The sequence below is a fragment of the Homo sapiens genome, chromosome 16, assembly GCF_000001405.40.
Source record: "Homo sapiens chromosome 16, GRCh38.p14 Primary Assembly".
Lineage (NCBI taxonomy): Eukaryota > Metazoa > Chordata > Mammalia > Primates > Hominidae > Homo > Homo sapiens.
The window spans coordinates 7,615,258-7,630,328 of record NC_000016.10 but is presented as its reverse complement, the minus strand read 5'-3'; the positions used below and the strand labels follow the sequence as shown (position 1 = coordinate 7,630,328).

The 15,071-nt window shown below is 40.7% G+C and overlaps 1 protein-coding gene across 52 annotated transcripts in view; it reads right to left on the bottom strand.

Annotated features, from left to right (window-relative positions):
• Positions 1–15,071, bottom strand: part of RBFOX1 (RNA binding fox-1 homolog 1) — a 2,473,620-nt gene that overhangs the window by 83,012 nt on the left and 2,375,537 nt on the right. The gene's annotated exons all lie outside the window — the stretch shown is intronic.

Genomic DNA, 15,071 nt, shown 5'->3' with positions numbered 1-15,071 from the left:
CAGGAATGGAAGCAGCGTGGCATACTGAAAAGGGAACTTGAGAAATATTGGAGGGAGCTAGATAGTAAGCCTGACTCAGACACCTCTTCACTGTGTGATCTTGGCAAGTCACTGTACCTCTCTGTGCCTCAGTGTTTCCATCTGGAAAACAGGGGTAAATATACCTACCTCCGAGAATGGCTGTGCATCATATGACTGGAGACGTACCCAGGGCAGGGGCTGGCATGTAATAATCACTCAATCAATAGTAAGCATACATGTTGATAGGTTTAGAGAAAACGGTAACTTCCTTCAAATGTCAGTCTTTCCGAATCAGTTCTTCAGAGGAAGAACAGAAGTAAGGCGGAGAAAGAAAAATTGCAACTTTTTGCCATCCCTGGGACCCACCCTGGACCCACACTGGACACTGGATGAGAGAATCTTCGGCTTCTGTATTCCCGCTTTCTTCCCTAAAGCTCTCTGCCTTCCAGCCAGAAAGGCTGCCTAGCTCATCCTGCAAACTGCGGCTGCATTGCAGCAATGACTTGCCTCCTCCTGATTTAAAGCGAAGGGCACTGGGTTCATCCTTGCAAGGTGGAATTTTACAGCGGCAAATAATGGTGGAATCCTGAGATACCTCCTCAATCTATGACAGATTTTGAACAACCACCCACTCCAGGGATGACTGGGGTCAGGAATTGTCAGGGTATCAGTGCTACTTTCCCACTGCTGCAAAGCTCAAACTCCAAGACTTTGAAAATAATTAGAATTCTGAGGAGTTTTAAGGCCATTACTGGTGATGGAAATACCTCCCTGTGGTTTCTGGTCACTTCCTTGACTGGGGAAGGTCAACCGCCCCAGTTTGATTTGGATTCCCCTGTCAGGACCGCAACGGGAAAGCAATCTCCCATGATAAGAAGCCAACCTTACAAGTGCACCCGCAGAACAGGGAACTTTTCTATATCCTTGGAGACTTGCCCTAGGGAATGGTTCTATGCTCCTTCTGTATCTTCCCTATGATCAACAAAAATGTAGTTAAAACTTCCAAAGCGTGTGGGGTCCTGCCACACAGAGGGACTGCACGGTGATGTCATCAAGGGACAGTAAACCAGACACAATTCTTTCTAACCCATCTCACTCTTCCCCTGTTACCGGTCTGACAACTCCATCCACTTTTTCCCAGGGAGAAGCAGCCCAGGGCCAGAGGTTCTACCTGAAGGAATGTCCCATGGTCTTTTTCGATCTGGTTTCCCATGCTTATAGCTGGAGAACAGCCACCCCCACCCGCAAAATAGCCCTTCACACAACAGTGAAATTAACTCGAAATTAACTAACCTTCTCTGGGTAGTAAATATATCAAGAGTCTGGCGGAGTGTCAGTATGATTCACCTGTGCTAAACTAATAGTTCTTTCTTCTTCATTTAAAAACAGTTTATCGGCCAGGTGTAGTGGCTCATGCCTGTCATTCCAGTACTTTGGGAGGCCAAGGCAGGTAGATCACCTGAGGTTAGGAGTTCGAGACCAGCCTGGCCAACATGGTGAAATCCTGTCTCTACTAAAAACACAAAAATTAGCTGGGTGTGGTGGCAGGCGCCTGTAATTCCAGCTACTCAGGAGACTGAGGCAGGAGAATCACTTGAACCCAGGAGGTGGAGGTTGCAGTAAGCCGAGATCACGCCATTACACTCCAGCCTGGGTGACAAGAGCAAAACTCCATCTCAAAAAAAAAAGTTTATCACAACGTATGAGATGATACTTTCCATGGTTTAACCTCGCCTCAGGTATTTCCAGTTTTAGCAGGTCACTGGGGATTAACAGCAAACAAACCAAACTCCAAAGAATGGAGATTGGGATATGAAACCAAGCAAGGGGAGGCAAGCTACCTACCAGGAAAGACAGTTAGTCCCCTCTACAGTCAGTGGTGTTTATCAATGAGTACTCCTGTGTGACTCTGCAGCGGTTATCTATGTGCTTCTGCTCACTGCTAGAAATCTTAGAAATAAATGAATGTGTTTCTATAGGATATACAGAGAGTTATCAGGTCGGAATCATCTACGATAGGATCCTAGCAAGTGGATTTAGGGAATGCTCCTCAACCTTCTCTCCTGTGCACGCCTGGTTTAAAAAAACACTTAAAATCAGCTATGAAGTTTCTTGGGGTGCTAAATTTCAAAAGAAAAATGTATAACTGTAACACAAACATACACAGAAGGACATTTCAGTATTGTATGGTTAAAACCCTTGGGTCAATTTTCAATATCCTCGATGCAATTTATAGAATTCCACTGGGACACAGCACAGATTTTTGCCTGGAAAGCTAACCTCTGGCACGGCATAATGAAGCATTCCTAATTTTTTTTAATGCTGTGGATTCTGAGAACCTGGACTGAAATATTTTCTTTGGATACTTTCTTCGTAGTTAAAAAAAAAAAAAATCTTTATGCAATGATTTTGACCTTTTGTAAAACAAAATCTATGCCTTCACAGGACTTGGTTTTTGTTTTATCTAAAAGCATCCTCCAATTTAATTTGGAAAGTACTTACTGTATGTTCCCTTAGTGCTTTGTGACCTTTTCTTAAAAGGACGCTTTGAATTCGACAAAACCAAAGCAGCAGAGAACACTGCAACCTCCATGCATTTTTTTGGGCAGGGAAAGGTAAGTGTGTTTGTTTTAAAAAGTAAGTCAAATAGGTAATAAGGTACAAGCAGCAGTATGGAGAGGGCCTACAAGGTCATTCAAAGCACTTCTCAATATAGCTTCAACATAGCTCTTCATTGAGTCCACTGAGCTGGATCTTCTATCTGTCCCTAGCCTTCAACATAAACCTTCTACTGCCAAATGCCAGGAACCTTCATTTGTATCACATGATGACATCCTGTACTTCTCAGACTTCTGTGCTTTTATCAAATTCCTTATAATCTAGGGATGGCAAATGGGGTCAATTTATACCACTACCTACCCATTCTTTAGCCAGAACGGAATTAATCAATTTCAATATTATCCTTTCCTATTGGCCTGGAATCCTCACAATCATTCTCAACACAGCCAGTAGGCAATGATTCCCATTTGATTAGAGTTGGTGAAGTGGATGAAACCTTCATGCTGTTCCTGCTCTTAGAGTTAGATTAAACCATTTCAAATTGACTTTTTTTTTTTTTTTGTCAAATAGAATTGAATGTTGCCAAGTTCATGTGGTTCAACTTAAAAGAAAAAAAAAAAAAAAGGAGGCGGAGGGGCTTCCCCTGTCCTCCTCCAACATAGTTTAAAAGTGACCTCTTCTCTCCCTTGTCCTCAGGGGTGAATTAGTTATTACCTACACTATGCTCTTATCTTGCATTTTTAAACCTCCCTGATAGATCCTTCGTGGTCCTCTACTACAATTTTCTACTTAGACATTGGTCGTCTGAACTACAAAATCCACCTGCGGTAGAGCCAAATCATACTCATCTTTTCATCCCCAACACCTAGGAAAATACCTGATCCTCAGAAGGATTAATGCATATGATTGAATTATAATACATTTTTAAAAACAAGTCTCCACTTCTACCCTCTTTGCTAAAAATAGTGTTTTTTTTCAACCAATCTTTCTTCCGCCTGTTCATGGCAGGAAATTTGCATGCCTGAAGTTCAAATAGATTTACACACTACATGTAAATAACTTTTACAGATTGAAATAGCTTCAATCTACTTCACGTGTTTTCTCTTCTTTCCTGGTTCTTATAAAGTTGGCTCACCCACTCTAACAAGAAACCTGCGCAGCCTGGACTGTCGATGACTGTATCAGCACCTGGCAGACATTTGGCTCCATGGGACAGACCTCAATCTCAGAATAATCAGAGCCCGTTCCAAAGCCTGTCACGTTCGCCCACTCTGAGTGCCGGGATCATCGGCATCCCCACAACCTGGCAAGATGTCCCACAGCCACTCTCCAGCAGGATTTTGAATCCTCCAGTGAGGAAGGGAGTAAGCCAGTGCCAAGGTCTCAGATGGGGCATCGGAACCCTTTCTGCTGAGCAGTAGTCTCCATACGGCATGCAGGGGATCATTCCTGGCCCCTGAAGGGGCAGGCACAAGCCTAGAAGGGATGTTTCCCATCACAGACAGGAAGGAGGAAGTGTCGAAAACTGTTTACTCTGCTGCCAACCCCCTAAGTGAGGAAAACTGGACTCAAACCGGAACAGCAGTGCAGTTTCACACCTCCATGCCTTTGCAGAGGCTTTGTCTTTTTCCAGGAAATCTTTTCCTTGCTCTAGGTAACTCCTTTCTGGACTCAGCTCTGGCTTCTCCTAGAAACCCTATCTATGTACCTTTGTCTGGCAGAGTTCAGCTTCCTTTCTCTTCTTTTTAAAATTGTGTTGTGTAATCTATTTAATGAGTGTCTTCCCCCATTGATGCTACTAATTCAAAGAGATCAGGAATCATGTGTTTATCTTCCTATCCTCATGAGTCCAGGAACCTAGACTAAGAGGCAGGGAGCAAATGAAGTGAGAATCCAAAGGTTTCTGATAGGCAGCCATGCTACACTTCCAAGAAATAAAATTAAAATGGAGGATGGGAAGGAAGAAAAGAAAGGCTGTTTGGCAATGTCTGCCCGTTCCCTTTTAGTATCAAATGGGCACAGTTCCAAGTCAGTACATGGTGAATAACTAGAACTTTTCCTACATAATTTCTGAATTTAAACAAAAAATGTGAACGGAACATCTCAACTGCCTGGCAACTGGGAGTGGCCAATTAGCTTCAAGAGCTCGAAGATTAAAATGGGTTAGGAAATCTGGAGGATGCTCTTGAAGACACAAAGAACAACAGCTAGACTTTATGAAATACCTAAGATGGAATGAGTATTCTGGGGCCCCCATGCAGGAAGTTTCTGTATATGTCATGCACTGTCTGTACCTCTAATACAGGAGTTATTAAGAAATTATTTTAGGCAGATAGTAAGGGTAAAGGTTCTAGGTGGAAATTTTCCTGTAATAAGAAACCACCCCCAAACCATCTCTTTTATAACAGAAAAGACTGCTCGAAGGGCTGGGTGGGCAAGCTTTGATATGCAAATACCCGCCATTAGGAACAGGGTTCACTCAATGTGGCGATTCCTGCTGTCTTCTCCTTGTCACCACCTGTGCCCAGTTTAATGGCCACCTCCAGATAACACCATGTGTTCAGAACATCATGGCGACCCGCATTTACACATTAAAGGACTAAGGTGGGAGAGCCAGGTTTTTTGCAGGCTGCATAAATGACACACCTGGCCAAAGCAATCCCCTGGGCTGTATGCAAATCAGACACCGCCTCCTCAAGCCTCCCCTATAATCTACCACTTATCTGCCACACACAAGGTTTCTCTGTTCCAGGCCCCACTCTCCGGTCTCTGTATGGGGAAGCTGTTCTTTTCTTTCTTCCTCCTTTCTTGCCTATTACACTTTTCGCTCCTTAAAACCACTCCACGTGTGTTCACATTGTTAATCCAATCGGCGCAAAACCAACAACCTTGGCATTTCTCCAGTCATCAGAACCGTATCACCTCAACAAACCTCTACTGTGTGGTGGTGCAGAGTCACACAAAAATAGAACTCTCCACTGATGTCTGGCTTTCCTAATGTCACTCAGCCGAGGAAAGGAGCTTACTCAGGGAAGAAGGCTAAGAGGAGAACCCTAGAACCCTGCAGGGCAATGTCTGAGTAGCACAAGTGCTTATTAGTCCCTCTGCCTCTAGTGCTCAGCTAGGCAACTATGATGTAGTGAGTATTATCATTCATTTGGCTGGTACTTATTGGCATCTACTCGTCTATGTGCCAGGCACTGTGCTGGGCTTTGGGGTACATCTGTTGAACTCCATGTGCTTTTCCAGAGGATGACATGTTATCACGTTTAGTGCTCATAGGTTCAGTAACAAATGTATACATGAAAAGGAACAAAAGAATGATTCTGAATATCAAACCAAACCTTAGCCTACATAATTAGTCACACTGCTCACTAAGATAAGTATAATTATTCGAGAACAATTTTTATTAGATATAACTATTATGGCTTTGGCCAAAATTCTCTATTTCTGCTATATAATTCTATCATAACTGAAAGTTTAGTAGTAATAGGAATCAATGCTAGAAATGTTTTGATTCTACATAAAGAAAAAGCTTTTTTCAATATTTGCCAAAGAATATTTACTTTGCATTTGTCCCTCCATAGTAGGCGTCTGATGCCATTAGTCCTCCTTTACTGGCATTACAAAGGTGGCACAGAACAACTAAGTCCTTTACCAAAAACCTTACCAACCAGAGGTAAATTTTAGATGAAAAACAAGCTATTTGGGTTCCTACACTGTCACTCATTTCATCGAGTCCTTCCTTCAGTCCACTGTTGTAGAATCATTTTTAAATGCTATAACTCTGAGTACTTCAGAATGTGACTTTACTTGCAGAGAGATCTTTAAAGCTGTAATTAAGTTAAAATGAGGTCATATGGGTGGGCCTTAATCTGACAGATCTTACAAGAAGAGGAGATGAGGACACACAGGGAAACCCAGGTGAAGACAGAGAAAAGATGGTCATCTGCAAGCCAAGGAGAGAGGCCTCAGAAGAAACCAACCCTGCCAACACCATGATCTCAGACTTCCAGCATCCAGAATTATGAGAAAATAAATTTCTGTTGTTTAAGCCAGGGTTCCCCAACCCCTGGGCCACGGACCCTACTGGGCCACACAGCAGGAGGTGAGCTGCAGGTGAGCGAGCAAAGCTTCATGTGTATTGACAGCCGCTCCTCATTGTTCATGTTACTTCATGTTACCACCTGAGCTCCACCTCCTGTCAGATAAGTGGAAGCATTGGATTTTCATAAAAGTGTGAATCTTATTGTGAACTGAGCTAGGGATCTTGGTTGTGTGTTCCTTATGAGAATCTAATGCCTGATCCGTCACTGCCTCCCATCGCTCCCAGACAGGACTGTCTAGTTACAAGAAAAGAAGCCCAGGGCTCCCACTGATTCTACATTATGGCAAGTTGTATAATTAATTCATTATATATTACAATGTAATAATAATAGAAATAAGGTACACAAGAAATGCACTGGAATCATCCTGAAACCATCCCTGCTACCCGACCCGTGGAAAAACTGCCTTCCACAAAACCCAACCCGGGTGCCAAAATGGTTGGGAACTGCTTGTTAAGCCATCCAGTCTGTGATACTTTGCTATGGCAGCACTAGCCAACTACTACACCTTCCTACCTTATAATGAGAGTCCCCTACAAAGTGACCCATAAGCCTCAAACTTCTCTTGGACTTAGAAGCCAAAGAGGTTGCCATAAGGTACCTAGCAATGGAGGTGACTGCTTTCAATTGACAGATTTTTCCAAAATTTACCCAAAGCCCGAATGGACGGTGGATACTTTTACAGTCATGCATTTTTGAACGCAAGACTAGCATTGAGCTAATCCATGTAAGAATATTTTCACAGTTAATCCCTAATGCTTTTACACCAGCCTGAAAGATGAGCTTCTCTGAAGGGTTATGGTAGAGTTTTAAGTATAGGGATATTTCCATTTGGGCACAGATGTTGCAGAAAAAATGTTGCTCTGTATGTTTACTTCTTATAAATCAAATCATGTTTTAATTGTACCAAGGGATTTCCATATTTAAAGGGGCCCTGAAGCGCATCTGTCTATAGTGTAAATAATCCCTCACTCCAATTTATTTTCATAAGCTTTGGTTTTCATAATATTCAAAAAAAAAATACACCACTTCTTGTTTGTTTTCTTTTTGCTTTTTATTTTGACATAACTTGAGACTTTTTGGAAAAGTCACAAGAATAATACAAAGAAGAATTTGTTCCTTGACTATTTATTGTTTGAAAATTTTAATGACTCACTCCAACTGTTCACTTAATCTCCTGCAGCCAAAATGTAGGCTAATAGTGGCATTGACAGGAAATATTTAACTTAATATGATAAACCTAACAATAAGAGTTCCCAAAGTGTTTTACTGAATACCTGAGAATCACTGGGTATCCTGCTCAACTTTAACTTAGATCATCATTTACTCTTAATGACCCTGTAGGACAGACACTATTTTTATACCCATTTAATAGATGAGGATATTGAAGCATAGAGAACTCTTTTTCCTTGCCTGAGGTGACACAGATCTCGTGATGCTGAAACTGCAAGTCATACCAACCAGATTCCTGGACCCATGGTTCTAACAATCATCTTCTAAATCAAGTGCTGACCAACTACAGACTTTTGGCCAAATCCAACTGCTCCCCTCCCCCGAGCCCCCACCTATTTTTGTATGGTCTGTGAGCTAGGAATGCTTTTTACGATTTTAAATGGTTGACAAAAATCACAGTAACATTTGACTAGTGAAAATTGCATGAAACTCAAGTTTCAGTATCTAATAAGTAAAGTTTCATTGGAAGACAGCTACATCTATTCATTTTTGTGTATGGCTGCTTTTCTGCTAAAATGACAGGGCTGAGTAATTGCACAGAGACCTTATGGCCTGCAGAGGCTAAAGTGTTTACTGTCTGGCCCTTTACAGACAAAGTTTGCTGATCAGTGTTCTAAGATCCCTTTACTGCTTGCAAAAATACTAACAGTAACTGTCTCTCAGTACACCATTAGCCCTTCCCAAGGGAGCTGGCACTAAGTATTTCAGAGGCTATCATTTGATCAATACTTGCCAAAAAATTAATTTTATTTCATTTTTGTTCAAAACAAACTTTTTTCAAACACAGGCTTTTAAAAATATTTGCTCAAAATTTCTTTTGGATTGTTTTTCAAAACAATAAAACAATTAGGCCAGGTGTGGTGACCCTGCCTGTAATCCCAGCACTTTGGAAAGCCAAGGCAGGAGGATCACTTGAGGCCAGGAGTTCAAGACCAGCCTGGAGAACATGGCAAAACCCGTCTCTAACAAAAAAATACAATAATTAGCCAGGCGTGGTGGCATATGCCTGTAACCCCAGCTACTTGGGCGGCTGAGGCACAAGAATTGCTTGAACCCGCGAGGCAGAGGTTGCAATGAACTGAGCTTGCACCACTGCACTCCAGCCTGGGTGATGGAGACTCCATCTCAAAAAAGAAAAAAAAAAATTCAAAAAGTTATTCCATAGAGTATTTGTGGAGGTCTATCAATTCAGCCACAACAAAAACAATGAAAATAAGTTCTATCTTGCAAGATGTTTGTCCTTCAAAGTTATAGGTGTCAATATATAGATGATAAGACTACTAGGGCCTTGCTTCTCAAACTCTACTATGCTCTGAATCCCCTGGGACTCTTCTAAATGCAGATTCTTATCTAGGGGGTCTGGGGTGGGGCCTGAGACTCTGCATTTCTCATAGGCTTCCAGGGGATGCAGATGGTGCTGACAACAGTAAATTGCTAGGGATTACATAGGAACCTCATGTACAGCTAATATTGACAGTGCCCATTAAGGTGGCCCTAGGTTTCAGGTGCTATACAAGATGTACTCCACATGCACGTCTTTTTCTTATCAAACCCAAGAGGAAATGAAAGCTCAGAGAAAAAGTATAATAAAACTGAACTATAAGTCAGTTTTGTGTGACTCCAAAGCTCAGACACTCTCTCTCAAAGCTACACCTGTTTATCAATGGTGATACTTGGTCCTGAGTTGATAAAAACATATCCTTCAGCATGAGAATGATCAATATCCATTACCCCCATTACAACAAAGCCACATCTAAGAATTCCGAAGCTGCCATCTGGCAGGAAACACCTGACTCTTCCTGGCTAAAGATGTTAGCTAGAACCTCCTGATCATGTTTAAGAATCTGTGATAGGGTTTTAAATCCAACCAAGGAAGCCTTTGGGCAGAATGTATCTTCTACAGATAAGAAAAATCCTACTTGCAAGATTGAAATAAGACATAGAGGAGGCAAATGCAGAGGAGAAATAATGAACGTCTGAGATTTCTATAGTGTCACTGAAAAAGTGTAGGCTTTGAAACTTTTAACTTTGTTTTGTTTCCTGATCTTGCTGACTGGAAGTTGAGTTGACTTTGGGTAAAACTCTGTACTTCTCTGAGCCTCAGTGGTTACATCTGTCAAATAGAGATAAAAATGTGTACTTGATCGAATATTGCTGTGAGGATTACAACTATGGCATGAAAGTGTTTGGCAAATAGTAATCAGTAAGTGAATCAATCATAATCATGGAAATAGCAATTATTATTGGGTATCTAAAACAATGATGCTCTGAGGACTTACTTTGGTTTTCAGAAAGGAAATAGCAAATTTATAGCTATTGAACTATTGTGTTTGGCCACTAAACATAATGCTAAACATAATAGTTAATGGCAAATATTTTAGTATTAAATGAATTGCAAGCACTTAAACTTAGGAGTTTTAATGTGATAAGATATGTCTAGCTTCTAGTGGGAAGTCAGGGGACAGACCATAGGTGTCTGGGCTAGGATTCCTGTCCGGCAGAGCCACTGTAGGCAAAGGTGAGAAGCCACTACTTGCTATAATTGAGACACAGCTCCTCCAATTTGGCACATTTCACTTATTTATGTCATAGCTTGTTCCTAAAAACATTTTAGTTTGCAATCTCTGATTAGGAAAAAAAAAATTAGAAACTGTCATTCAACTGAAAACAGTGGAATTTACAAGTCTGTGCAAAGAACCTAGAAGGCCTTCTATACTCTCTTCTTATCTTCTTGGGAATAAGAGCCTCTAAGATGCTGTAAGAGCCTAAAAAGCTGTCTAGACAGGCTTCTCTATTGTCACTTCTTTCATATTTCAAGTACTATTACAGAACTATTTAGGAGGGACTCTATTTGTGGAATGAGGATGAGATCCTTCATCTTGAATTGCCTTCTAAGCCTTCTCAGATTAGGCTTAAAATTTTAACCTGACTTTTTTGGTGAGAGTAGAAAATACACGTCACCTTTCAATCTCTCAAAGAGTGATTGGATGAAGTTGTCTATGCCTGCCACAACATACACACACATACTCGCACACACTGCCCCTTCCCCTGCTATGGCTAAAAACAAACATAATATTTCAGCTAGTGAAAATCATTTTCAAAAATGAAAGAGAATAGGGTGGATTTCAATCTTTACAATATCACATGCACATCAACCAAACACTAGAATCATACAAATAGTTTTTTTTTTCTCCAGAGGAAATATCAGTGATATTGGGGTGTTTGTGTTTTAAAATGATACTGGGTTTAATACAATAAGTGTGCATCGATTAACCTTTGCATCAGATTTAAATGTATAACCCATTAACTAATTTAATCTCTCAACAAAATAACAGCCGTTGGCATTATTCTTTGAATAATCCTTGTTTAGTTTCCATAATGGTATACAGTTTAATGAAAAACTCATTAGAACGTAGCATACGGCATAATTAATTCTGGCTGATTCTTTTGGTGTAAATAGCTAATGCAGATGCGGAATTCCATTTTCCACTGGCTTTATTAATTTTTCATAAACCAATATGTCGACTGTAATGTGTTATAACAATTCCATGGAAGTTCTAGAAATGCATTAACTGTCACTGATGAAGTTACTCAAAGTAGGGTTTTGCCATTTGTCAGTTGGTTCTTCAAAACTACATTTTCAAAAGACAACAGGACAGCTCTGTTTTATATGTAGAGAATGAGTATCTACATGTAATTAACAGAAAGGGTATTAAACACTATTGGGTGAATTTATTTCTATTTATACACCAACTTAATTTGTTGGGGAAATAAGAACAATAAATTTTGAAAAGAACAATGAAAGTGGGAAGCAAAAAGTCTTTCAAACTAAAGAGTTTATAATCTAATGATAACAAGTTAAAACATTAAAAAAAAACATGTCACCTTGCGTTTGAAATCGCTGGTAATTTACTTTCTTAAAAGATTTAGAGAAAACCACGAAATAAGTTTCACAATAGCCTTTGTCCTAGGCACTAGATTAGTAATTAAGAACCCAATCTGCAGGGTTGCTGAACAGTTGATAATCTGCTCCTAAGTCTCCCAGCACCACAGGGCTTCACGCACATATTAGTAATAATACAAGTCTTAATTATAAGACTGTTACTCAGTGTGAATATAGATACAAGTACTAACTCACCAACAGGTGTCTTCCTTATTTATTTTTAATTATAATTGTTATTTTTAATAGAGCTTTCAATGGCTGCCTACCACTGAAAGGATAAATTCCAAAATTCAGATTTCATTATGTAAAATTTTAAGGTCTTATGCAACCTTTCTCTAGAAGGTACTCTCTAATCTCAACAGATCAATATACCTTAGCCTTTGGAAAAAACGTCAACTTGGCTCAGAAATTCCCATCAGTAGGTATCAGGTGAAGATCAAGCATGTGTATTTTTTTTTTAAGTTTTCTCAATGGATTCTAAAGATAAAGGTTGAGAAACAGCTTGGGACCCTACCAACCACCTCCATATTCCCTCCTGCAATGATCTTTACCCACTTTCTTACCAGGTGAACTCTTACCCTTTAAGACTCAATTTACACCACCCCCTTGACTCCTCATGCAGAGAGCCTTGTTATTCTTTTGGCTCTAGCAGGTATCACTGTGTACTATACCCGCATTGACAGTTTGTTTTGCATCCTTCTACTACCCTGTTGACTTCTAGAGGGAAAGCCTGGGTCTGTTTTGGTACCTCGGCACCTAGCACAGTGTCTAGCGCCCGATACTATAATTCTGCAATAAAAGGTGAATTCATGGAAACAAGGATTAAGTGTTAATACACGGTCTGTCTCTTTGGCCCTTCCCTGATGAACATCAAACAACTGAGTGCCATCCAGCTAAGGTCATGGGTTCATGTAGTATATAACCGCTAAAGCTGTGCAATTTAAAAAACCAAAAGAAAAACTCTCAAGGGCTTAAACTGGTGGCTTTATTACCGCTGAGCTCTTCAAGCCAAGCTCAGCAAAGTAGGGACAATGTTTTTGTACGGGCCATAAACTAAGAATGGCTTTCACGTTTTTGGATGTTTGAAAAAAAACAACTATTTTGTGACACATGAAAATTGTATAAAATCTAAATTTCCACGTCCTTAGTTTTACTGGAAAACAATCATGCCCATTTATTTACACATTGTCTATGGCTACTTTTACACGGCAATGGCAGAACTCAGTAGTTGAAACAGGGATCATAGGGATTACAAAGTCAAAAACACTATCTGTGCCTACAGTGATAAGTTGTTTGAAGACCCCTGCTTTAAGCTAACAAGCTGTACATTCTTTTCTCTTTCATAACTAAATTTGGCTTGGTTTTCTTACAGTCAAGCTACCCAGTGGTATCATGTTTCTTATGCCATCATCATCCTCACTACTACCATCATTACAGATGTCACTATAAATTGCAAGTTTACTTTTTTTTTTTTTTAATGGTTGTGCAGGGAAGGGTGGATTCTAGCAGGCCTGGGCTATCTCAAACCTTGCACATTTTCCACAACAGCTTGTCCTTAGGATTGGACTTTGGCCAGCTCCTGGGAGATAAAATATCAGGCCTTAGAATATTATCTGCCTGATAAAACTATTTTTGCGCCAGCCATGGTGGCTCATACTTGTAATCCCAGCACTTTGGAATACCGAGGTGGGAGGGTTGCTTGAGGTCAGGAGTTCAAGACCAGCCTGGCTAACGTGATGAAAGCCCATCTCTACTAAAAATACAAAAGTTAGCTGGGTGTGGTGGCGGGCACCAGTAATCCCAGCTACCTGGGAGGCAGAGGTTGCAGTGAAACAAGATAACGCCCCTGCACTCCAGCCTAGGTGACAGAGTGAGAGACTCCATCCCAAAAACAAAAACAAAATTGTTTTTGTATGCCTGAGGCCTTGGACCACACCATATAGGTTTGATCCAATTGTTTATGGTAACTATTTATGGTGAATTCCTGTTCCTCACACCTCCATAGCATGGGCTGAGGTTTGAGAGTTGGTCAGTCATGCAGGTGCAGCTTGCCTATGTGAGTAACCACTAACAAAAACGCTGGACACTAAGGCTCAGGTGAGCTTCACTGATAACACTATGCCTGTGCTGTCACATGCCATTTCTGGAAAAATTAAGCACATCTGTGTGACTGCACGGTGAGAGGACACCTGGAAGCTTTTGCTAGGTTTCTTCTAAACTTCACTGCATGTACTTTTCCTCTTTGCTAATTTTTCATCTGTATCCTTTTGTTATAATAAACTAACTGTGAGTGTAACAGCCTTTTTGAACTCTGAGTCCTTCTAATCAATCATGGAGCCTGAGAGTGGTCTTGGGGACTCCCAACACAGCTGTGTGGTATCAAATCAAAGTTTATGCTTTTCCCTTCTGGAGTAAATAATCACAATACAATGCTCCAAAGATGAAACATTTACATGAAAGTCTTCAAATTCTTTGACTGCCATTGATGACTGCAGCTGTTCATACATTATTAGTGGTAGCAACCAGTGGGGCATGAGAGTTGTTAAGGTATTCCGTGAATATGTGGCATCTCGAATAGCGTCAATGAGGACAGAATTTCTCAAACCCAGCACTATTGACATTTTGGGCCAGATAACGATTTGTGGTCAAGGAATGTCTTGTGCATTGCAGGGTGTTTTGAAGCGTCCTTGGCCTCCACCCACTAGATGTCAGCAGTGAACAACACTCCCCAATCCCCGCCCCCACCACCACCCAAGATGTAACAATGAAACAAATGTTTCCAGAAATTGCCAAATTCCCCTAAGAGAAAGGTCACTCCATATTAAGAATCACTAATCTAGGACTTGGGTTAACTAAAGCATTGGTGGGAGGCAGCTTGTAGGTAGAAAATGAGCTTTGGAGTCACAAAGATAACAGCTTTGGCCCTACTCCTTAACTTTCAGAGTCAGCACCCACTGGCATCATAACTTCACTGGATCTAATTTACCTGCAAATCGAAGGTAACAATACTTCTCCTGAAAACTTCTAATTTACGTACATATATGTAAAGTTCTCAACATGAACTCTGGCATGTGGCAGACAATATTAAATGCAAATGTGTTTTCATTCATTATTATTATTATTATTATTATTTTGAGATGGAGTCTTGCTCTATTGCCCAGGCTGGAGTGCAGTGGCACGATCTCAGCTCACTGCAAGCTCCGCCTCCC